The sequence below is a fragment of the Homo sapiens genome, chromosome 1 (assembly GCF_000001405.40).
Source record: "Homo sapiens chromosome 1, GRCh38.p14 Primary Assembly".
NCBI classification, from domain to species: domain Eukaryota; kingdom Metazoa; phylum Chordata; class Mammalia; order Primates; family Hominidae; genus Homo; species Homo sapiens.
Window position 1 is genome coordinate 35,407,938 of NC_000001.11, and position 25,554 is coordinate 35,433,491.

At 41.5% G+C, this 25,554-nt stretch overlaps 1 protein-coding gene and 1 pseudogene across 17 annotated transcripts in view; one reads left to right on the forward strand and one right to left on the reverse strand.

Annotated features, from left to right (window-relative positions):
- ZMYM4 (zinc finger MYM-type containing 4) overlaps positions 1-14,121 on the forward strand; it is a 153,350-nt gene extending 139,229 nt beyond the window's left edge. For 15 of the 17 annotated variants that reach the window (XM_017002803.2, XM_024450838.2, XM_047434271.1 and 12 more), the window contains 5 exons: positions 71-222; positions 6,035-6,146; positions 7,529-7,777; positions 10,506-10,635; positions 11,533-14,121. In XM_017002803.2, the coding sequence (XP_016858292.1) occupies positions 71-222; positions 6,035-6,146; positions 7,529-7,777; positions 10,506-10,635; positions 11,533-11,740 (851 nt within the window). In that variant the 3' untranslated portion in view covers positions 11,741-14,121. Of the gene's footprint in view, positions 1-70; positions 223-6,034; positions 6,147-7,528; positions 7,778-10,505; positions 10,636-11,532 lie in introns of those variants that run through there. The other 2 variants (NM_001375653.1, XM_047434276.1) reach the window with 2 other exon arrangements.
- On the reverse strand, positions 19,873-19,955 carry RNY5P1 (RNY5 pseudogene 1; annotated as a pseudogene).

The window sequence follows — 25,554 nt, forward strand, 5'->3', positions numbered from 1 at the left end:
TTATTCAGTTAATCAATGCTACTATGTTTGTTAAAAGTTAATGTTTCAGATGTTTTCTACCTTTCCACAGTCCGCTCTATCAAGCTGAAGGAAGACATTCTGTCCTGCACTTTTGCTGAGTTGAGTTTGGGCTTATGCCAGTTTATCCAAGAGGTGCGGAGACCAAATGGTGAAAAATATGATCCAGACAGTATCTTATACTTGTGCCTTGGAATTCAACAGGTATCAAGTTAAACATATGGATTCTTCAACCTAGCAAATCCATTGACCAGAATATGTCCCCACAGAAATTACATGCACATGTACACACCCAGATATATACTGGTATTTTCATTGGAACATTGTTTTTAACAACAAATTGGAAACCGCTCAAGTGTTAATCAAGCTTTGTGGATCAGTCAACTATAATATGTCCATACTGTGGAATACTGTAAAATATTTACAAAGGAATGGCTTGCTTCTGTATTTATTGACCTAGGAAATTCTTAGAGGCATATATTTTAAAAAGTAACCTGCAGGGCCAGGTGTGGTGGCTCACACCTGTATTCCTAGCACTTTGGGAGGCTGAGATGGGAGTATCACTTGAGGCCAGTGATGCAAGACCAGCCTGGGCAACATAGGGAGACACTATCTCTACAAAAAATAAAAAATTAGCCAGGTATGGTGGTGTATGCCTCCACTCCCAGCTACTCAGGAGACGGAGGCAGGAGGATCACCTCAGCCCAGGAGTTTAAGGCTGCAGTAAGCCATTGGAGCTCCAGCCTAGGTGGCAGAGTGAGAACCTGTCTGAGGAAAAACAAAAAAAAAGTAACTTGCAGAATTATATATATAGTGTGATTGTTATGGGAAAATATGCATAACATAAAATTTACCATTTTAAAGTTTGCAATTCAGTAGGACTAATAAGTACATTCTTAATGTGCAGTCATCACCACTGTCTATTCTGTAGCTTTATGACTCCAAAGGGAAACCTCAAACCCAGTTAGTAGTCACTCCCCATTACTCCCTCCACCCATCCCTGGCAACCATAAATCTGCTTTCTGTCTCTCTGGACTTGCCTATTCTGGATATTTTGTATCAGTGGATTCACACACTATGTGGCCTTTTGTGTCTGGTTTCTTTCCCTTAGCATTATGTTTTCAAGGTTTATCCATGTTTTAGCATGAATCAATATAGCATTCCTTTTTATGGCTGAATAATATTCTATCATATGGATATACCACATGTTGTTTATCCATTCATCCACTGATGGACATTTGAGGTTCTGCCTTTTGGTGATTGTGAATACGCTGCTGTGAACATTCATGTACAGGTTTTTGTTTGAACACCTATTTTCAATTCTTTTGCCATATATGCTTAGGAGTGGAATTGCTGAGTCTTGTAACTATGACTGAGTTGTTGAGGAACTACTGAACTGTTTTCCAAAGTGGCAGCACCATTTTACATTTCCAACAGCAGTGTATGAAGATTCCAGTATCTCCACATTCTTGCTAACATTTGTTAATTTCTGTCTTTTTTTTTTTTAAACAACCATCCTGGTGGGTATGAAATGATATCTCATTGTGTTTTTAATTTGCATTTTCCTAATGACATTGGGAATCTTTTTGTGTACTTTTTGACCATGTGTATACCTTCTTTGGAGAAATGTCTATTTAAGTCCTGTCTTAGTCTGTATTGCCATAGGGGAGTACCTGAGGCTGGGTAATTTATAAAGAAATTCTTGGCTGGGTGCGGTGGCTCACACCTGTAATCCCAGCACTTTGGGAGGCCGAGGCAGGCAGATCACGAGGTCAGGAGTTCGAGACCAGCCTGGCCAACATGGTGAAACCCTGTCTCTACTAAGAATACAAAAATTAGCTGGGCGTGGTGGCACATGCCTGTAGTCCCAGCTACTCGGAAGGCTAAGGCAGGAGAATCGCTTGAACCCAGGAGGCAGAGTTTGCAGTGAGCCAAGATCGCGCCCCTGCACTTCAGCCTGGGTGACAGAACAAGACTCTGTCTCAAAAAAAAAAAAAAAAATTCTCATGCAGAATCATGGCTTATGGTTCTGCAGTACAAGAAACATGGCTCCAGCATCTGCTTCTGGTGAGCGCTTCAGGAAGCTTCCAATCACGGCATCATATGATCATGGCAGAAGGTGAAGGGGGAGCAGGCGTCTCATGGCAAGAGAGTGAGGACGAAGTACCAGGCTCTTTTTAACAATCAGATCTCTCAGTAACTAATAGAGGGAGAACTTCATTACTAGGAGAATAGCATCAAGCCAGTCATGAGAGATCAGGGCCCCACTGCCAACATTAAGGATCAAATCTCCACGAGGTTTGGAAGGCACAAGTATCTAAACTATATCAAGTCCTTTGCCTAATTTTTAATTGAATTGTCTTTTTGTCATTGTGTTGTAGAAACTATATATATTCTAGATATTAAACTTTTATCAGATATGTGATTTGCAAATATCTTCTCCCATTCTCTGGATTTTCTTTTCACTCTCTTGGTGTAGTGTACTTTGAATGACAAATATATATTTATTTATTTATTTATCTGTTTATTAATTAATTTATTTATTTATTTTGAGATGGAGTCTCGCTCTGTCGCCCAGGCTGGAGTGCAGTGACACCATCTGGGCTCACTGCAAGCTGCGCATCCCAGGTTCACGCCATTTTCCTGCGTCAGCCTCCCGAGTAGCTGGGACTACAGGCGCCTGCCACCACACCTGGCTCATTTTTTTTTTTTTTTCCAGTAGAGACGGGGTTTCACAGTATTAGCCAGGATGGTTTGGATCTCCCACCTCGTGATCCGCCCACCTCGGCCTCCCAATGTGCTGGCTTTACTGGCATGAGCCACTGTGCCCGGCCAAATTTTTTTTATTTTAATGAAGTTCAGTTTCTTTTTTGTTCTTCCTTTTCTTTTCCTTTCTCTTTTCTTTTTATTGCCTGTGCTCCTGGTGTTATATCTAGGAATCTACTGCCACATTCAAGGGCATGAAGATTTAATCCTCTTTTCTTCAGAGAGTTTTATGATTTTAGCTCTTATATTTAGGTCGTTCATTTATTTTGAGTTAATTTTTGTATCTGGTATGAGCTAGGTCTACCTTCATTCTTTTGTATGTGGTTATCCAGTTCTCTCAGCACCATTTGTTGAAGAGACTGTTCTTTACCCATTGTATGGGCTTGATACCATTGTAGAAAATCTTTTGACCAAATATAGATGGGTTTAATTTGGACTCTCAGTTATAATCCATTTTTCTTTTTTCTTTTTTTTTTTTTTTTGAGATGGAGTCTTGATCTTGGCTCACTGCAAGCTCCGCCTCCCGGGTTCACGCCATTCTCCTGCCTCAGCCTCCCGAGTAGCTGGGATTACAGGCGCCCGCCACTATGCCCGGCTAATTTTTTTTGTATTTTTAGTAGAGATAGGGTTTCACTGTGTTAGCCAGGATGGTCTCGATCTCATGACCTTGTGATCCGCCTGCCTCGGCCTCCCAAAGTGCTGGGATTACAGGCGTGAGCCACTGTGCCCGGCCCTAATCCATTTTTCTATAGATGGCTATTTTTAGGGCAGTACACAGTTTTGCAACTTACATTATAGCTTTGTATTAAGTTTTGAAATCAGGAAATGTGGTTCCTCAAAATTCTTTGGGCTCTTCAAGGTCCTTTGAAATTCTATGTCAATTTTAGAATGGGTTTTTCCATTTCTGCAGAAAAAGGTCATTGGATTTTGATATGATTGCAGTGAATCTATAAATTGATTTGGAGAATATTGCCATTTTAACATCATTAAATCTTCTGATCTGTGACTACAGGATGTCTTTCTGTTTATTTAGTTGTTCTTTAATTTTTGCTTTCAGCAGTTTTTTGTGGTTTTAAGTGTGTAAGTCTTACAACATTTTGGTTACATTTCTTCTCAAGTATTTTATTCTTTTTGATGCTTTGGTAAACATGGGACTTTTGTTTGTTTGTTTGTTTTTTTGAGACGGAGTCTCACTCTGTCGCCCAGGCTGGAGTGCAGTGGCACAATCTCAGCTCACTGCAAGCTCCGCCTCCTGGGTTCAACGCCATTCTCCTGCCTCAGCCTCCGAAGTAGCTGGGACTACAGGCGCCCGCCACCGCGCCCAGCTAATTTTTTTTTTTTTTGTATTTTTAGTAGAGACAGGGTTTCACCGTGGTCTCGATCTCCTGACCTTGTGATCCGCCCGCCTTAGCCTCCCAAAGTGCTGGGATTACAGGCATGAGCCACCGCACCTGGCGGGACTTTCTTAATTTCCTGTTTGGATTGTTCATTGCTAGCTTGAAATACAGCTGATTTTTGTGTATTGCTTATATGCTGCAACTTGGCTGGATTCACTTATTAGCTCTAATAATTCATTTTTCTGTGTATTCTCTAAGATTTTCTATATATAGGATTCTGTCACCTGCAACTAGAGATAATTTTACTTCTTCCTTTCCTATTTGAATGCGTTATATTTATTTTTCTTGCCTGGCTGCTCTGCTAGGATTCGCGGTACAGTGTTGACGAAGAATGGCAAGGATAGGCATTCTTGTCTTGTTCCTGGTTAAGGGGGAAGAGACTTTTTTTAAACATGTATGTTGCGTTATATGTACTGATATATTTCTGTAACTGTACAAAACTCACTTCTGCATAATGGAATTTCTTAAAGATTGGAAATATTTTTGCATATGAATAGTAGTTGACTTTGTGTGATGAGTTTGAATGAGTTTGAATAGTCTACTTTTTCTTTATTTTGAACTTTTTCAATAACGAAGATATATTTTTAAGCTTGAAAGTGACTATATTAAAAGAAGAAAAAGAGGAATACTGTTGAACAACAAACTGTAATCTGCCAATAAGTTCATAAATTGCCTTTGAGGAGGCCTCATAAAAATGCCTATTGAAGTGGTAATTTTTGTTAGCCAGAATAAATTTAAATGGAAATAATTTTCTCCAAATCATACATAGAAATGCAAGAAACCAAGATAGCCACAGAAATATAAATTAAAAATACTAAACCTTAAAAACACCAAAATACTTTTATCACGTAATTACATGCTGCCTTGGATTCCGTTACTACTCATGGTGTGTCCCTGTCTCAATTGATTTTATCTGACCTGCGCCGTCAGTACTTTTTAAAAGAGACAGGGTCTTGCTCTGTTACCCAGGCTGAAGTGCAGTGATATGATCATAGCTTGCTGCAGTCTCAAACTCCCAGGTTCAAACAACCCTCCTGCCTCAGACTCCCAAGCAGTTAGGACTACAGGCATGCACCACCACCCCTGGCTATTTGTTTTTAAATTTTTTGTAGAGATGGGTCTCACTGTGTTGCCCAGGTTAGTCTTGCACTATTGACCTCAAGTGATCCTCTCACCTTGGCCTCCCAAAGCACTGGGATTACCATTCCTGGCTCAATACATTTTTAAACTATAGGTATTCTTTTTGTTCTAGCCTATGATATGGTTGTTAATGGTTATAATTAACATAGTTCAATGTCCTATAATTAGACTTGAACTTTTTTGAGGGCTAGGTTGTGGGGCAGAGTTGAGAGCTGTAGTTAGAAGGCTCCAAATAAATAGTTTTTAAATTTGGGTTTCCTCAGGTCAACTGACATTAGCTAACTGTGTGATTGCAAGAAATGATCTTGTATCTAGGGTAAAAAACAAAAGAGCACATCTGCAGATACACATTATGAATCAGGAAAAACATGATTTGGAACGTGTGCATTGGAACCAAGTTTTAGTATGTCAGTTTTAGGAACTAAGTAAAGGGTTCTTCATAATACTTCTTCTGTACCATCCGTGTTTGAAAACGAAGTACAAAAACTTTACCTTGCAAGGTCAGTGCTGAAGATAATGTGTTAATAAGAACAGGAGCTTTAGCTTGAATTCTAGTGTTTTAACAACTATCTCTAAGGTACTGAGAGGTTAAACATGGTTTATAATATTGTAAGGGCAAAAATTAAGGGTAAACTGTATTTCTTACAATAATTTTTTAAGAACTCATGTTTTCTTTTTATCAACATGTATATTTTCTTTTTTTTTTCTTGTAGTACCTGTTTGAAAATGGTAGAATAGATAACATTTTTACTGAGCCCTATTCCAGATTTATGATTGAACTTACCAAACTCTTGAAAATATGGGAACCTACAATACTTCCTAATGGTAGGGTGATTTTTTTTTTATTGTTTTCATGATATGCTTTCTTAAATTGCTTAACTTTTTTGGTTATCTTTAAAAAAATTGTTCATTTTTATTTCTGTCCAGATTTATACCATATTTGGACTTCTGAGGAGACGGTCTTTGGTTTATTGTTGATTGTTTTAGGAAAACTGTACAAGTCATATAGCACATGTATAGATACTGATTGCAGAAAATATAAACTAATTTGAAGTTACATTTACCTTTTTAGAAACCATTTTTGATCTGGTAGCATTGGTGTAGCTTTCACATATCATATCTGCTAACAGTGGACCTTTTTTGGTAGTTTGTATGTATACTGAACTGTTGTTAAGAGAGTTAAGTCCTCGTCCTTGAATTATCTTTGACCAGATGTCATCAGACAAGTCCATAATTCACTCCAGGTCTCAGGCTGAGGTGAATGAAGAGGTTCAATGTTATGCTTAGTAATATATGCACCTTTCTGTTGGGCTGCAGAGCACCTTTAACAGTAAGCTTAATGATCTCCAACAGGAGTTTGCAAACTATGGTCCATGGGCCAAATCTGGCCTGCTCCCTGTTTTGCAATCTATGAGCTAAAAATTGTTTTTACATTTTTAAATAGTTGGGGAAATTTTTTTAAGAATTCCTATTTCATCATGTGAAAATTATATTAAATTCATGGCTGGGTGTGGTGGCTCACACCTGTGGTCCCAGGTGTGACTTTGGAAGGCTGAGGCAGGAGGATCACTTGAGCCCAGGAGTTCAAGATCAGCCTGGGCAACAAGGTGAAACTCTGTCTCTACAAAAAATAAAAAAAATTAGCTGGGCATGGTGGTGGTGCCTTGTAGTCCCAGCTACTCAGGAGGATGAGGTGGGAGAAGCACCTGAGCCCAGGAGTTTGAGGCTGCAGTGAGCCCTGATCGTGCCACTGCACTCCAGCCTGGGTGACAGAGTAAGACCCTGTCTCAAAAAAAAGAAAAGAAAATTATATGACTATAAATAAATTTTACTGGCATATAGCTCTGCCTGTTTATGTGTTCTCTACAGCTCCTTAGTTTCTACAGCAACAGCGTTGTTCAGAGCCTATATGGCCTACACATCCCAAAATATTTACTTTCTGGCCCTTTATAAAGACAGCTTAACCCCTAATCTAAAATATCAATAGATTAAAACGGTTTCAGGAGACTCCACGAACGGTGTCTACTTGAGTGGAATCATCTGCCTTTTTCTTTGTGGTGCGTTTTCTGGTTTTCTGCATAAGGAAGAGGGGAAAGAGGAATAGTCAGTTTTTCTCTTTATATCTCCCTGTCTTAGAATTTGAGAGATTACTTAGTCTACTTTAGCAGGAGCTCAGTACTGTTTCTTGTACCCCTTCTTCTGTCTAGGTTACATGTTCTCTCGCATTGAGGAAGAGCATTTGTGGGAGTGCAAACAGCTGGGCGCTTACTCACCAATCGTCCTTTTAAACACCCTCCTTTTCTTCAATACCAAATACTTCCAACTAAAGAATGTTACTGAGCACTTGAAGCTTTCCTTTGCCCATGTGATGAGACGGACCAGGACTCTGAAGTACAGTACCAAGATGACATATCTGAGGTTCTTCCCACCTTTACAGAAGCAGGAGTCAGAACCAGGTACGGGATACTGTTTGTCAGATTTCTCTTTGAAGTCTTAGTAGTAGTACTAAAATAGAGAGTTACTGCAGAAAGGTAATTATAAATGCTAGACGTGAAAGAGTGTACCTTTAACATTTGAATATTTTTCTCTATTGTCAGAGAGTGGTCAAAGGCTGGCCTCAAAGTGAGAGGAATCACGTGCTTCAATATACTTTCATTGGCTTTTAAATTAGAAATTTTGATTTAATTGGGCAGAGCTCAAATAGCCTGCATTTTAAAACTTCTCAGGAAATTAAAAAATACAAACAGGGTTGAGAATCACTAATTTACTAGCCCCAGATGAGTCAATCACTAGTTAAACGAAACCTGCAGAACTTTTAGTCCATTGTTTCTAAATCTTTTTTTGACCAGAGCCCCTCTTTTTAGTTAACATTGTGAAATTCTGAAGGAACTTAAAAGCTGACCTACAATATACTGCTTTTGTACACAATAGAATAATAGCAGTGACAATTTTATTAGAAGGTTTATTGTCTTGCATTTCAAAAACAGCCTATTAAATAAGTTTGTTTTTAATGTTCAGAAACTTAATCTTGGTATTATAGGATTAGAAATTAAATTTATTATTTTTTGAATAGAATCATAAGTCCTGAACTTCCCAAAATCAGTTTCTGAGAGTGAAATACATTTTTTGAATGTGAGAATTTAAATCACTGAAACTAAAATCTGTATTTGTGATGTTCAACTTTGTATAAACTTTTTTCTGAATTGTTCATTTACTAAGATTATCTTTTTCACCTAATGTCTGTGTCCTGTTTGCTTAGTTTTATATATATGTAACCCACTTTGTGCTCTCAATTGATTTTTATTTATTTATTTATTTATTTTGAGATGAAGTCTCACTCTGTCACCCAGGTTGGAGTGCAGTGGTGTGATCTCAGCTCACTGCAGACTTCGCCTCCCAGGTTCAAGCAATTCTCCTGCCTCAGCCTCCCAAGTAGCTGGGACTACAGGCATGTGCTACCACGCCTGGCTAATTTTTGTATTTTTAATAGAGACGGGGTTTCACCATATTGGGCAAGCTGGTCTCGAACTCCTGACCTCAGGTGATCCACCCGCCTCGGCCTCTCAAAGTGCTGGGATTACAGGCGTGAGCCACCATGCCTGGCCTCAGTTGGTATTAACTGGGGGAGGGAAAGGCAGGTGGATAATGTTTCCCTGTTTGCTGATTGGGTGCTTGACATGATTAGTAGTGAATTCAGCTTGCTTTCTAAGTGAGTAACTAGCAAAGTCTTTCTATTTAGCTAGCTGCTAAATGGAAAATGGGTGAGTTTTGTTAAAGTAATAATGCAGGAAGCTGGGGAAAGTCCTATACCGGTTGTTAAGAGCAGATATAGGCTGAGTGCAATGGCTCATGCTTGTAATCCCAATATTTTGGGAGGCTCATGCGGGAGGATTGCTTGACCCCAGGAGTTTGAGGCTGTAGTGAGCTGTGATGGAGTCACTGCACTCTAGCCTGGGCAACAGAGTGAGACCCTGTCTCCCAAAAAAAAAAAAAAAAGAAAGAAAACCTTTTTTCCTTAGGTCCATCTAGTGTTCTCTTGAGGAGTGAATGGAAAAAGTGGGAAAGAAATAGCCCACTTTCCGTATCTTCACCCTGACTTCCTTATATAATGCTTGGCCTCTGCAAAATACTGTTGGGGAAAAATGGTTTGTTCTTTTCTTACCAAATAGTAACTCTGCTGATAATTTCTCTTCCCAACAAAGATGCCATTTCTCACAATATTCGAACAAATAAACTTGAGCAGATGCCCAGTACTAGTGCCCCACAGTAGAAATATTCTCATAGAGATGACAGCTTCTGCTGAGTTCAGTGGCTTGTACCTGTAGTCCCAGCTACTCCAAAGGCTGTGGCAAGAGGATCACTTGAACCCAGGAGTTCAAGGCTGCGGAGATTCAAGGCTGCTGTGATCACACCATCATGCTCCAGGCTGGGCAACAGAGTGAGACCCTGTCTCTTAAAAGAGAGATGGCGACCGGGCACGGTGGTTCATGCCTGTAATCCCAGCACTTTGGGAGGCCGAGGTGGGCTGATCACCTGAGGTCAGGAGTTCGAGACCAGACTGGCCAACATGGTGAAAACCTGTCTCTACTAAAAATACAAAAAAATTAGCTGGGCATGGTGGCAGGCGCCTGTAATCCCAGCTACTTGGGAGGCTGAGGCAGGAGAATCCTTGAACCTGGGTGGAGGCTGCAGTGAGCGGAGATTTCGCCGTTGCACTCCGTCCTGGGCAAGAAGAGCAAAGTTCCGTCTCAAAAAAAAAAAAAGAGATGGCAACTTCTGTCTTGATCTCTACTGTAGGAGAAAAACATGTGGAACCCTTCTTTCTGCTTTATCTTGATATGTCTCAGGAACCCTGTGCCTAATGAAGTTTATTAATAAAGTCAGGCTCAGAATAGAGACGTTTTCCAGTGCCAGTGCCATACTTTTTGTCATGGTGCCCCCACTTTGGTGAGCAGGGGAGCATAAAATTCATGGGATAGGGACTTTGTTTAATGCCATAGAATCCAGCACTTAAAATAATGTCTGGCACCTTCATAGGCACTCAGTATTTGTTGAATGAGTGTGAGTGAGTGAAAGGGAGGAAATGACAAAGTTCTGGCTGCGAAGCAAAGCTCATTGGTGTCTTGAGACTCAAAGAATAGACTTTTCTAATATAATCCTTTGATTATTATTTCCTGTCTCAAGATAAACTGACTGTTGGCAAGAGGAAACGAAATGAAGATGATGAGGTTCCAGTGGGGGTGGAGATGGCAGAGAATACTGACAATCCACTAAGATGCCCAGTCCGACTTTATGAGTTTTACCTGTCAAAATGGTAATCTTTCTCTGAACTGAATGTAGTGCACTCAGAAGGCAGTTAACATATTTTGGATTTCAGATGCTTGAACATCAGAAAAGTAGCTTGCCCGTGGCTTTAGACAAGGATTTACCATGAATTTTTTCCCCATTGTCATATCTATGTGGATTTTGAACCACAAAACAAATTACCTTGTCTTCATAATTATTTTATGAAAATGTCTTCAAAAGCAAGAATCACTGCTATTGTTTGATCTTTACAACTGTTGTACAACCTTTATGTGATACCTAATCTGTAGTTATTTTGTTATTTGTATAGAAAAGAAATTTTGTTTTGCTAAAGCTATAATAGAAAAACAATTTTTAAGGAATTGAAATTTTCTAAGTAGTCCTTTTCTTAGAGGAACTTTATGATTTTAGAGTTGTAACACTTTTTTTTCTGAAAGAAATGTAATAGCTTCATTTGCCCTTTGATAATGTGTATTGAGTGCCCTTGGAGTTCATTCCAGGATATTGGGCACTTCCAATATGTGGTGCTTGGCCATAGTGTCACATGTGAGTTGACTTTTTTGTTGCTCTTAATAATGTTTGAAGTACTAAAGTTTATGATTTACACTTTGTCTTATATTAACTTTATACTCACTTCCAATCCATTGTGATTTCAGTTGATTCCTGGGAGGAAATATTCCTGTAAACTATTTATCTCTGTGGGTACCTTGCTTTCCCCATTGTGAGTCACAGTGGAGAAAGGTTGAGAGCCATATTAGGTTGGTGCAAAAATAATTGCAGTTTTTGCCCTTACTTTTAATTACTTTTAATGGCAAAAACCTCAGTTTACTTAAGAATAGTACATATTTCCTATACTCTCTGATTTCTAATTTTCTTTTTTCTCTTTTTTTTTTTCCCCTGTGGATAGTTCTGAAAGTGTGAAGCAAAGGAATGATGTGTTTTACCTTCAACCTGAGCGCTCCTGTGTCCCGAATAGCCCCATGTGGTACTCCACATTCCCGATAGACCCTGGAACCCTGGACACCATGTTAACACGTATTCTCATGGTGAGGGAGGTACATGAAGAACTTGCCAAAGCCAAATCTGAAGACTCTGATGTTGAATTATCAGATTAAAACGGAAGTGAGGTTCTTATTTTCATACATATTGGTATGCACCAAACTGTGAATGCATCCAGCTGTTGGAAAATGATGTATAAGTCTAAGTCCTCTTGACTTGACCATAAGATCATGGAAAACAGATGACTTGTGAACCCCACAGTGTGGATGTGCAAATGAAAATTGAAGGAAAGAATATGAACTGAGAAATGTTCTTTGGCAGTGATATAGTTCTTAGACATCTTCAGAATGACTAATTTCTCCGAGTGGTGCATAATCTTATTTTGTTTGGGAGTAACAAATCGTGGAATATTTTTAAGGAAAACTGTTGTATAAAACTTTACCATAGTAACCTTAGACCTTAGAGAGGTAGCTTTGGAGTGAAACTTTGGCTGCAATAGGCTACTTTGGCAAGCCCTCCGTAAAAGTCAGAGGAGAGATCAGTACAGAGCTAAGAGTGACATCAAATGAGGACTGTGGGACCCAGATTTGAAGACCCAATAAAAATACTCAACTTTTTAAAAAAGATAGTGAAGTGGTCTTGATTGATTTTGATTTTCACTGCCAAGCCAATCATGTGAAGGACAGAAGCTTTTGCCATGGGCCCCTCACATCAGGGAAAATGACCTTCACTGCTGTTAACAGTAATGTGTCCCTTTCATTTTCTGGATCAAGCCTTCTCAGCGGTGGGTCTGGATGTGGGTAAACTAAGGTAAAGGGGATGATATTCCACAAACTAATTATGCACACAGAAAATCTGTGGAGCCTATCAGACCCCAAGTGTCTTGAAATGTTTGTAGAAACCCACTAAAATGCCCCTTCTCTGGGTGTGGGCCCTTATTGCAGCTGTCTCACAGCCTGAGCTGTGGTACAGAGAAATGGGGGTTCTCCTTTTATTTTCATTTTTTTTCCCCAATGGCAGCTTTTCTCCCGTTGTTTTACCTTCCTATTTCCCAAACAGTTCCTCTTATTTTGTCTTTTGCACCAGTTTCTGGAGGCCCTTGTCATTTCAAAAAGGATAGTCTCTTTTCTTACTCTGGCAAACCTGTGAGTGATTCCACAAAGATACAGTATTACTTAGCTATCTGAATTATGATAGAAAAGGTCCTAGTTAGGTTCCTATATAAAGCATTTGGAAGATGACCTTGTTGCCCTTGAAACTTGAAAATAGGGATTCTGGGGTGAGGATACAAAGACATTGTCTTGCATATCCATAAGCAGGTCTTAGAGCATTATTCCAAACTCTAGCTGTTTCAGTAGTTCTATGAGGATTGCAAGTCATAGGTGTGTGTGGCATATCAGTCCATCTCCCTCATCTCCATTCTCAGTTTCTTCCCCACAAAATTTGGAATCAAAGCTTTTATGACGTTTGCCAATTGCAGAACTTCTTCAGCTAAGGTTAATTTGACGCTATGATAAAACTGAGAGATGTCAAAAAGCCTCTTAGAAATTTTAATCTTGAAAGACTTTTCAGGGTATCTCATTTTTTAGGTGGGGGTGGCAGGTGTATTTCTTTTTTAACAAATAAAAGGCATTTAAGTAAAACTAAAATGAAAAAAGTAGGCCTTCTGACATTGTGTACTTGGTGGTTCTGTCCCTCTGCCTGTAACAAATCTCATTTTTGTTACCAAGAACTGTATGAAAGAAGTAAATCCACCCCGATTCTGTATGATTAATTCCATCTGTGTTTGTCATTTCTGACTGGAAAACTTCTTACTCCATACCTTGTTCGATATGGAGGACAAATAATTGGATTGTCTGATAAGTCTGCCAATAAACTATCCAGAAATAGCAAGTGTAATAGTCCCCACTATACGAATTTTATGGTTTGTATAAACACTAACATTTTCCCCTTCTGTAGTTGTATGAAAAAACAAATATTGTTAGCATAGTAGATAAATTGTTATGAAATACCAGAAAAAAAAATCTGTATCTTTTACTGAGAACACCCAATACCCAGATAAATGACTGTATCAGGATTTCATTTGCATGTTAGTCCACAGAGTTGCCCAGAACCCTAAATTTATTCATAAGAGAAAATATTGATTAATTATTGGTCATTCCTCATAAGTGTAGCTGTTGATGTGTGCGTCTGATTATTGCTTTTTTAATTTTATGAAAATTGTGTAAAATTACATTTTTTTTCCAGGGGAGAAAAAAACATCAAACAAAAACATCTAAATCATCCTTTTTGTTCTTTTTCAGTTTTTAACCACTTTTAGGTTTTCCCCTTACAGAAACCACAGAAATATTCCCTTAGAATAAAATAGTATATTTGTATTTGATGGGTGAGTTCTTCTTCTTTACGTCTTAAAAGAATTTGAAATCTCTTTTTCTGATTGACCTTATTGGTATGACCCAGCAATTAGTAAAATTACAAAGAAAGAGAGCAGTTTCCGAGAAAGAAATTTTTTTTATGTAGTCCAGTCAACATATTTTTTCATTGCAAGTTCTTTTATTTCCTTTTTTCCATCAAAAGACTTGTTCCCATTTTTAGCTAATTTACTGACTATATTCAAAGTCCCAACAGGTAGAAATATCAGAGATCATTTATACATATCATTTCAGGCAAACTTTTTTGAGATTTACAAAGCCTACATCAGTTCAACTTTAATGAAATTGTAAGACTAGAATAAAGGATATGTTCATTCTTAAGTATAAATACATGTTTAAAACAGGAATGTAAGACTAAATAGCATTTTCCTTCGACTTCAGAGTTGTCTTGGTATTATGCAGCTGTACTTTCAAATTCCGTATCGACTTTCTACCTACCTGCCTTGTGGCAATCCTAAATTTATAAAACAGGTTTTCCCAAAAGATCTAATGTAAAATGAATTTCTATTAATGAATTCAGAATTTAATTTTCCAAAGAAGTCTCCTAGGGTATTGAGTTGAAGTTTTAGGAAAGAAGCAATCATACCCTGAACTCCTCTAGACTAGCACTTGTCTGTTACACTGTGCTATCATCATTGAAGAGAATAGTGATTGAGAGGCAATGCTATGTAGTGGAGAGATCATAGGCGTCGAAGCCTAGTGTTTCTACTTACTGGTTGTATAACTTTAGGTAAATTACTTAACCTCAGGCCAGGCACGGTGGCTCACACTTGTAATCCCAGCACTTTGGGAGGTCGAGGCAGGAGGATCATGAGGTCAGGAGATCGAGACCATCCTAGCTAACATGGTGAAACCCTGTCTCTACTAAAAATACAAAAGTTAGCCGGGCGTGGTGGCGGGCGCCTGTAGTCCCAGCTACTCGGGAGGCTGAGGCAGGAGAATGGCGTGAACCCGGGAGGCGGAGCTTACAGTGAGCCGAGATCGTGCCACTGCACTCCAGCCTGGGCAACAGAGCGAGACTCCGTCTCAAAAAAATAAATAAAAAAATAAGTAAATAAAAATTAACCTCTCTGTGCCTCAGTTTTGTTATCTATAAAGTGGGTATAACTCCCTTATTAAGTTGTGCCTGGCACATGGTAGGCTTTCAAATGTCAGATATTTTTTATTACATGCAAATTTCCTGGCCTGTACTAACACATTAAATAAATGTTAATTCCCACACTACAGTCTGAATTTTTACTAAGTATAGCACTTTGGCTTCTGCAAAACATAATACTCTATTTATATAACCAATTCTACATATTTGAATCAAACAAAATTACAAATTCTTCACTTGTGCTTATGTGCATATCAATAGTAATCAACATCACAAGAATCCATTGATATTTTCACTATATTGAAAAATGGGGCTGGGCACGATGGCTCGTGCCTGTGATCCCAGCACTTCGGGAGGCCAAGATGGACAGATCACTTGAGGTCAGGAGCTCGAGACCAGCCTGGCCAACATGGTGAAACCCCATCTCTACTAAAAGTACAAAAATTAGCTGGGCGTGGTGGCAGGTGCCTATAATCCCAGCTGCTTCAGAGGCTGATGCAGGAAAATCACCTGAACCTGGGAGGCGGAGGTTGCAGTGAGCCGAGATCAGGCCACTACACTGTCCAGCCAGGGCAACAGAGTAAGACTGTCTCAAAAAAAAAGAAAAAAGAAAGAAATGGGCATGTATATCAGTATATATAGGAACAGCATATGATAGAGTTTATTAGTTTTTTTCTTTATATTTCTTTTTGTTTGTTTTGAGACACAGTCTCACTGTTGCTCAGGCTGGAGTGCAGCGGTGCGATCTTGGCTCACTACAACTTCCGCCTCCTGGGTTCTAGTGATTCTTCTGCCTCAGCCTCCTAAGTAGCTGGGATTACAGGTGTATGCCACCACACCTGGCTAATTTTTGTATTTTTAGTAGAGACGGGGTTTTGCCATGTTGGCCAGGCTGTTCTCAAACTCCTGACCTCAAGTGATCTGCCCACCTCAGCCTCCCAAGTGTTGGGATTACAGGTGTGAACCACCACGCCTGGCTAATATTTCTTTTTTTCTTTGAGATGGAGTCTCGCTCTGTTGCCTAGGCTGGAGTGCAGTGGCTCGATCTTGGTTCACTGCAACCTCTGCCTCCTGGGTTCAAGTGATTCTCCTGCCTCAGCCTCCTGAGTAGCTGGGACTACAGGTGCACGCCACCATGCCTGGCTAATTTTTGTATTTGATGGGGTTTCACTATGTTGGGCAGGCTGGTCTCGAACTCCTGACCTCAGGTGATCTGCTGCCTGCCTTGGCCTCCCAAAGTGCTGGGATTACAGGCATGAGCCACTACATCTGGCCTATTTATATTTCTTTGCATATGAATGCCAGGTCATAAATTTATTTTTTAATTGGGAGAAAAACCTTAAATCTATGAAACTTCTTTTACTTGGTAGGTTATATATGTCATCAGTTTAGGAACAAGACAACGGTACAACAGCAATCTCCCCACGCTTCACTTCATTAACAGAACTGCTCCTTCCCCAAAAGTTTTAGCTAGGCAGTGGCTCCCTTGGTAAAAAAGTGTATTTTCCAGGCTAACTTGTAGTTAGGAGTGACCATGGGACGAAGTTTTGACCAATGGCATGGAAGCAGATGTGAGTTTACATCTCCCAGGCTACACTCCTAAAAGGAAAATGCATGCTCCTCTCTTGTCTTCCCTTTTTCCTCTGATCTGGAGCATGAACGTGGTCATGGCAAACCAGTTTTGTCCATGTGGGAAAGGGCAGCATACCAGAAGTACATTAACCTCATGGACAGAGCCACCTGTCTCTCCTGGTCTGCCTACTAGCTCAGACCTTCACATAAGAGAGGAACTTTCATCTTATTTAAAGCCTTTTTTTTTCCTCTTCATTAAAGTAGCCAAACCAGTATCCTAACGAATACACCGGTAATGCCCACTGTCACATTACCACTAAACGGAACTGGAACTTCTCATCACAACAAAAAAGGTTATCAATATTGCAAGGTGAGAAAACACATTTGTTGTTGTTGTGTTTTGTTTTTGTTTTTTTGTTTTGTTTTGAGATGGAGTTTCGCTCTTGTTGCCCAGGCTGGAGTGCAGCGGCGCGATCTCCGCTCACTGCAACCTCCATCTCTCAGGTTCAAGCGATTCTCCTGCCTCAGCCTTTCAAGTAGCTGGGACTACAGGCATGTGCCACCACGCCTGGCTAATTTTGTATGTTTAGTAGAGGCGGGTTTAACCATGTCGGCCAGGCTGGTCTCAAACTCCTGACCTCAGGTAATCCTCCTGCCTCAGCCTCCCAAAGTGCTGGGATTACAGGCGCGAGCCACCACACCCCGCCAACAAACTCTTAAATAAGTTTGGCCGGCCACGGTGGCTCACACCTGTAATCCCAGCACATTGGGAGACCGAGGCAGGCGGATCACGAGGTCAAGAGTTTGAGACCAGCCTGACCAACATGGTGAAACTCCATCTTAACTAAAAATACAAAAATTAGCTGGGCGTGGTGGCAGGCGCCTGTAGTCCCAGCTACTCGGGGAGGCTGAGGCAGGAGAATGGTGTGAACCCAGGAGGTGGAGCTTGCAGTGAGGCGAGATTGTGCCACTGCACTCCAGCCTGGGAGACAGAGCGAGACTCTGTCTCAAAGAAAAAAAAAAACAAAACTATTAGCTAGCCAACCTAATTCGTGTGTGTGTGTGTGTGTGTGTGTGTGTGTGTGTGTTTCACACAAATGAAATCTTAAATTTTATTTATCTCTTGATTCTGGTGTTTTGTTTTGTCCCCTAAGGGGAGGTCTTTGCCATTTTTATTTACTTAATGCCCATTGGTCTACTCAAGTTTTTAATGTCTTGCCAATTTGCATTTTAACTTCCTCATTTTCATCTATATGTTCAGGTTTATAACATATAGTTCATAATTATTTCCTTTTTAAATTTTGTATTGTGTTTGCATCTTCTCATTTTCCCGGTCATTCTTAACCTTTTCAAAGAACCAGCATTTGGCTGAGTCTTATTTCATGTATTTCTAATTTTATTAATACTTTCCTTCTCTTTTCTTGTTTTTTTTTTCCAGTTGTTCATTCTTTAAATGATTGAATGATTGCTTCATTCATTGTTAATCTTTCTTGTTTCCTGAAAATGATTTAAAATCTACAACTTTTTCCTCTCAGTACTGCTTTAGGTGTGTTTCCCGATTCAGGCACAATGATGCGGTCATCAGCCTAAAAGTGTTTCCCATTTCCCTTTTTAACCCAAGTGTTTGTCCACCCTCCCTTGCCTGCTAGCAGCCTTGTCAGTTTTCAGGCTGTGTTTGAGGGATACTAATACTCCTCCTATTTACATTGTTTGTTTCATTGTTCTTTCTTATCTGTGTATCCCACCTTTTTTCCTTTTTGCATTGAATTGTTTTATCAGATACTGTAAATATTGCTCCCCCAGTTTCTCTTGGTTAATATTTGCCTGTTTTTCCCCCATCTTTTTTGTCCTATAATTGTTAGATTGTTTAAAAATGTTTATATTGAGAGTCTTTGTTATTTTTTATTCATTTATATATGTCATTATAGACTCTTAGGTTCCTATCTTATTCAGTAGGTTGTATTCTGATGCTCATTTATTTTGATACTCAAATTGTCATATATTTGACCAACGGAAGCCCCTTCTAGCTGGCTTTTATGTCCTTCTGACATGTTCCTGTCCGTTTTTCAGCATTTCTTAAGATATTCCAGGATTTTGTGGTACTCTTTTGGAATCAGTCATCTCTCTATAGAGCCATAAGACCTTAGCACTTGGCGTGCTCACTGCTACTAAGGTAAAATTGCTTCTATGCCCTCTCAGTGGGTAGAGCAACCAATCAATAACCACATATTCATATAACTATACACATCTATATCCATGTGTGTGTGTGTATGTAGTTTGTTTCTTTAAACCTGTGAGTTGATTCCAGTTTTTCCAATTTCAGTTCAACACCTCAGGATTCTTTGCAGCCTTCTCTCCCTTTCCACATTCATAATCCTTTCTCAAAAAGTGTGAAACCTGGCTCCCATTATCCTCAGTATATGTACTTATTTTCTCAATGAGGAACTTGTTTGCACAGTGTAATTAACCTCCCAACCATTCCAGCCACCCACTGCCCCTCTTACCCTGCTGCTAGGTGGTGGCTGCCTTACCAGGAGACCCCCTCACCACGTGCACATGTGTCCATGGTTTGAGGAGGCCTTCACCTCCTCAGAGGCCACTGTCTCCATGCAGGGAGGGCAGTGGAGACTGGAAGGAAGAGGCCAGAGTCTGGTGTTAAGTTCATATGTAAACACCTTAAACTTAATTACGGCTAATAGAACTTATTTCTGCTGTTTAGTTTTGTGGGTTTTTTTTTTTTTTCACAATTTCTGTTTACTGAACTTTTCGGTTTATCCCCTTGCTTCCCACTGAGTAACAAATTTTCTTCTACTTGTTTAAGAAAGTAATACTTTCTACTTTTATTGATATTACTTTTTTTTTAATTTGAGACAAGAGTCTCGCTCTGTCCACCAGGCTGGAGTGCAATGGTGCGGTCTCAGCTCACTGCAACCTCCGCCTCCCGGGTTCAAACGATTCTCTTGCCTCAGCCTGCCAAGTAGCTGGGACTACAGGCGCATGCCACCATGCCCGGATAATTTTTGTATTTTTAGTAGAGACGGGGTTTCACCATATTGGTCACACTGGTCTCAAACTCCTGACATCGTGACCCACCTGCCTCATCCTTTCAAAGTGCTGGGATTACAAGCCTGAGCCACTGCGCCAGGCCAAAATGCAAAGCTAGTCAAGCGTGGTTGTGGGGGGAGACAATGGTAAATCAGCTTAACAATAACCCACAACACTCAGACCAACATATTACTCTTAATACTAATCATGTTTGTTTACCCCTGTTGGTTTCTTTAACTTACCATCTAAATCTTCTCCTAGTAAGACTTTGTTAGACTTTTATGTTCCTTTGGTCTTGCCCACTCTTACTTACTATGTAAATTATTTTATTATATACTTACAGGTTTTTTTTCCTTTTTGTTAGTCCTGTTTCAGACTACAAACTTTGCCAGCGTATTTGCTCACCATCACTTCCCATCTCTCTTCCCATGTCTAGATTAATTTTTCTATATTTGACCACTTCTTGCAAGAATATGTTCTAAATGGGCCCTTTTGTGAAAAAGTTACTGAAGCCTTGTGTCCCTGAGAATTTTTTTTTTTTGAGACAAGGTGTTGCTCTGTCACCTAGGCTGGAGCTCAGTGGCATAATCATGGCTCACTGCAGCCTCTATAACTCCTGGGCTCAAGCAGTCCTCCTGCCTCAGCCTCTGGAGTAGCTGGGACTACAGGCGTGTGCTACCATGTGGAGTTAATTTTCAAAATGTTTATTTTGTAGAGATGGGGTCTCGCTATATTGACCAGGTTGGTTTCGAACTCCTGGCCTCAAGCAATCCTCTTGCCTCGGCCTCCCAAAGTGCTGTGATTACAGGCGTCACACACCTTGCCCGGCCGCCTGAGAATATTTTTTTATTACACTCAAGTTAGTGAGTTTGTCTTACTATACATTTTGGGGTCAAAGTTCTCTCCTTTAGCACTTCCTTTCTTTTTTCATCTGATACTGTTAAAAAGCCTGATGTCCATCTGATTTGATCTGTTATTTCTCTGAGAGCTTTCAGAATTTCTGCTTTTCTTATTGGTCTTAAATGTCTTTCACTACAATGTTTCTGTTTGTACAGTTTTCTTACTAATTATTCTATGAGTCCTTTGATCTTTCTTTAATTCTGGGAAATGTATTCTCATTATTTTTCCAAATATTTTCTCCATTTTTTTTTCTCTTTCCTTCTGCGACTCCCATTATTCAGATTTGGCACTTCTGCTCTGTCCCTGGACTGCTCTGTATGTGTGTGGGGGGGTGTTCCCACGTTTTTATTTTCCTGCTTTGTTTTGGCAGAGGCCCTCAGTATGATGCCCCACCTCATGGATTTGTTGTGAGATATATCTGTCCTATCCCATTTGTTAATTTTTTCACCCTTAATATTTCTATCTGGAGCCGGGTGCGGTGGCTCACACCTGTAATCCCAGCACTGTGGGAGGCCGAAGTGGGTGGATCACCTGAGGTCAGGAGTTTGAGACCAGAATGGCCAACATGGTGAAGCCCCGTCTCTACTAAAAATACAAAAATTAGCCAGGTGTGGTGGTGGGCACCTGTAATCCCAGGTACTCAGGAGGCTGAGGCAGGAGTATCTCTTGAACCTGGGAGGCAGAGGTTGCGGTGAGCTGAGATCACACCATTGCACTCCAGCCTGGGTGACAGAGTGAGACTCCGTCTCTTAAAAAAAAAAAAAAAAAATCTGCTTGGTCCTTGTTCCTGTTTCAGATTGCCAACATTTCCCGGTTTGTTTTGAATTCTAGTTCAGTTTGCTGTCTTTGTGGGCAGGGGCTTGGGCTCCTCAGGTGGCATCTGGTTATTTTGGCCTGTGAGCTCATGTTCCTTCACAGCACCAGCTTCTCTGTAGTATTTGTTGGTGAAAGGCCAAAGCCAGGCTCTACCCTGTCCCTCCCAGTGAGTTGAAGAAGGGAAGTTCATGACCTCCAGGTCCCTCACAGTTGCTGTTGACCACTCCACCAGGAGTGTTCCAAGATTCACCTTCAGACCTGTAGGAAGCAGCACTGCGAGGAGGCACAATTTCCAGTCATCCTCTGCCAGCTCTTGAGGCTTTGGAGGGAACAAGGGCTTGGAATTTCAAACCTAAGAGCAGCTGCCCAGCCCACCCCTCTTTCTCCTCAGCAGAGCTTTGGGCTGCCCTGATAGTGTCCCACTGACATCAGTGACTTGACTGGCAGTCCCATGTCCAGCAAGAGCAGACATCTCCCTGATGCCCTACCTCCCCTCCCACTTTATCACCTGCATCTTTGGGGATTTTTTTTTTTTTTTTTTTTTTGAGACGGAGTTTCGCTCTGTTGCCCAGGCTGGAGTGCAGTGGCGCGATCTCGACTCACTGCAAGCTCCGCCTCCCGGGTTCACGCCATTCTCCTGCCTCAGCCTCCCATGTAGCTGGGACTACAGGCGCGCGCCACCATGCCCGGCTAATTTTTGTATTTTTAGTAGAGACGGGGTTTCACCGTGTTAGCCAGGATGGTCTCGATCTCCTGACCTCGTGATCCGCCCGTCTCGGCCTCCCAAAGTGCTGGGATTACAGGCGTGAGCCACCGCGCCCGGCCATCTTTGGGGATTCTTACAGGATTTGTGGGGAGTTTTCAGTTTGGTTTGATTTGTGGTAGTGGTGCCTCAGTTGATGATGTTGTTTTTCTAGGGTTGATTTTTGGGGAAGGGAACCTGTAGCATACGCTAGTTCACTGTCTTAATAGGATCCAAAGCCCCAGTGTATCTTGTCTTTTTATTTTCAGTCTATGTGATGCTTTAGTTGTCTGTCCTGTAAATAGAGATTTACAATTAAACCCAGTCTGTTAAGTTCTGTTTGGTGGTAGTGGTTTTGTCGTTAACATCCAATCTGAAAACTAATGCCTATTAAGTGGTCACATTTTTCATGCTGATTTTTTTTCCCTCCCTTCCTGCTGATGGGTTGGTTGAAATCTTTTAATTTTTTTCTTTCCTTGTCTGGTTTAGATGTTCTACATTCTAGTTCTGAATTTTCAGTGGCTTTCTCAATGTTTTTAAGATGAATGCCTGACTTTCTCAAATGAGTATTTCTACCATCGTCCTATGGAAAGACTAGGTTACAGTCATCACCCCATCCCCATCTTATATGTTACAGTTCAGTATTTTCATTCCATCTCTTTATTCTCTCCCCAAGTAGCACTCCCTGGGAACTTCCTAGGCCAGGTTCCATTGGAGGATTTGTGTGGGAGAAACCAGCAGCGACCAGATCTGCCATCTCCCTCCCCGCCTTAACTGGCGTTTTCCTTTGAGAAACCACCTCTGTCACATCCCTGGGCTGGTCAGATTGTGTCCCCCTCCTGTGCTCCTGGAACCTCTCCGCATGCCTATGTTGATGTTTGTCAGGCTCTGTGTTCATCATGGGCACACTTCAAAGGGCATCCCAGTTCCTGTGGTGGAGACTAGGGATAGGATGATGGGTAAGTTGACATTGGTGGTTTTGAAATGCTGAAGTTTATATTGCTTTCCCAAATAAGAGTATGGTATTTGGTATTTCCAAAGAGTACCATGTTTAAAAGTGCCTCGTGCTTTTAAGAGAGATAGCTTGGGATTTCTGAGATAAGATAGGAATAAAGTGGTGTGCACTGGTCGCTCCTGAAAACAGCCATGTTTATGGTTTCTGTGGTTTCTCTACTGCTGTCCCTTAATCACTGATGGAACATACAGATTATGGGTAGCAAGACAGGAACTGTTTTCATCTGACGCTATTGAAACTCGTGTGTTTGTTTTATTTCTACGTAACAGAATCAGAATGAGAAACTTCTGAGGCATTTACTCCCAGATCATGTAGCTCACGTAAGATGTTTTAATATCTGTGCTGTGTTAGAGGTAAGAGTGTTGCAAAACAGAAGTTATGGGTCTAGCCTCATGAACTTGCAAGCGGGTTGGGGACAAAAGGCTGAGTGCTGCACCGTGGCTGAAAGCATAGAAATTGTCAACAGCCCCCATATAGAGCCCCAGGTTTCAGAGGGGGAGGATTCTAGGCTCCTAGGATCCACTTGAAGACAGGGGCATTACCTGGGGAAAAGCTTCAACTGCTCCAACAGGATGGCACTTTCTCTCTTTTAATGCTTTATTTAACCAACTAATAAATGCCAAGAAAAATCATGATTGGCCTGCAATCCCAGCACTTTGGGAGGCCGGGTGGGTGAATCACCTGAGGTCAGGAGCTCAAGACCAGCCTGGCCAACATGGTGAAACCCCATCTCTACTAAAAATGCAAAAATTAGCCGGGCGTGGTGGTGCATGCCTGTAATCCCAGCTACTGGGGAGGCTGAGGTAGGAGAACTGCTTGAATACAGGAGGCGGAGCTTGCAGTTATCACGCCACTGCACTCCAGCCTGGGCAACAGAGCAAGACTCTGTCTCAAAAAAAGAAGAAAAATCATGATTGCCAGTGTTCCCAGGATTCAGCTCCCCATTTAAGAGCAAAATTCCAACTAAAATATATATATGTATATATATCCTTCAGTGGGTTGTAGCTGAGGGTAAACAAGATGGAGAAAAGAGGCCCAGAGGAAAAGGGAAGCCTCCCTTTTTTACTACAAAGCTAGTAAGTGGTCGGGTCCTGCGGTTCCTTCCCAAATCCTTTGAAGCTATTCCCGATGCACCAACCTCACCAAGGCCTTATCGCCTCCCATCCAGCTATTCTGTGCAGTCTGGCCTGTACCCAGCTCCACTGTTCTGTTGCCCGAGCTGCCAATGGCTTCCACTGTGTGCGGGCCAACTTGTTTTTCATCTGGCCACTCTCTGGAGTGCCCTCCGCTCCACAGAGCCTGTCTGCTGTGGCTGTGTTTGGGCTGCAACACTGCCCCCGACCTCCACCCGTCAACTGAGCAAACCTGTGCCCTTAGCTTGGAGGACACTCCTTGGCAGATTCGAGACCTCCCTTTACTAAACTTACTTCTTTCACCCTCACTCAGGATGGGACATGTGCTGGTTCCTATTCATGCGGCATTGACTGTGCTTCTAGGCCAGAGGTTCTAAAGGGAGGCCCAGGACCAGCGCATCAGCATCTCCTGGGAACCTGTTAGAAAGGCAAATTCTTATGTCCTCCCCCTTCCCCAGACCTACTGAATTAGAAACCCAGCAACCTGTCTGAAGAAGCCTCTCGTCTTGAGGTTGGAGACTGCTGCAGAGCGAGCAAGGCTCTGCCGGGCCTGAGTTCTCCTCTGTCACCATGTGTGTAGATTAAGTTACTTCATCTCACTATGCCTTGGCTCTCGATCTGTAAAAACAGCCACTGCTGCCCTCCTGCAGCAGGGTTTTGTGCCCAGGGCCCTGGAGGGAGCATGAGCTCAGTGGTCCTTCCGTCCTCCCTGTCTTGGGAGTGCTAGGCTGTGCACCAGCCCTCCCAAGCCACATACCCAGCAAAGTGCTCTGTGAACTAGGTACAGTCAACACATTTGGGGGCATGTGGCCAACCTCTACTATTTGGGAACACCAAAGGGAAGATGAGTGGTCAAAATTTCTAAAGCCACACCCTGGACTTTAGGACACTCTGTGTCTCCCCAGCTTGGTCACAGGTGGACATGATCATTTTTGTGTTAACAAAAGATATGGGAAGAAGGGACATCAACCCTCCTCCCTTAAAGCCAGCAGGGGTACTGGGGTGGTGCACTCCCACCCACCAGTGGCAGGCAGGGCCCAGCACCACTGCTTGCATGTGCTGATGCCAGGCCCAAAACTTCCTTGCCAGAGGACACGACCTCACAGGGCTGCCCAGGGGGTGGGAGCTGTGCACGGGTCCGAGACGTAGCGTGAAGCAGCACACCCAGCAGACAGAGTG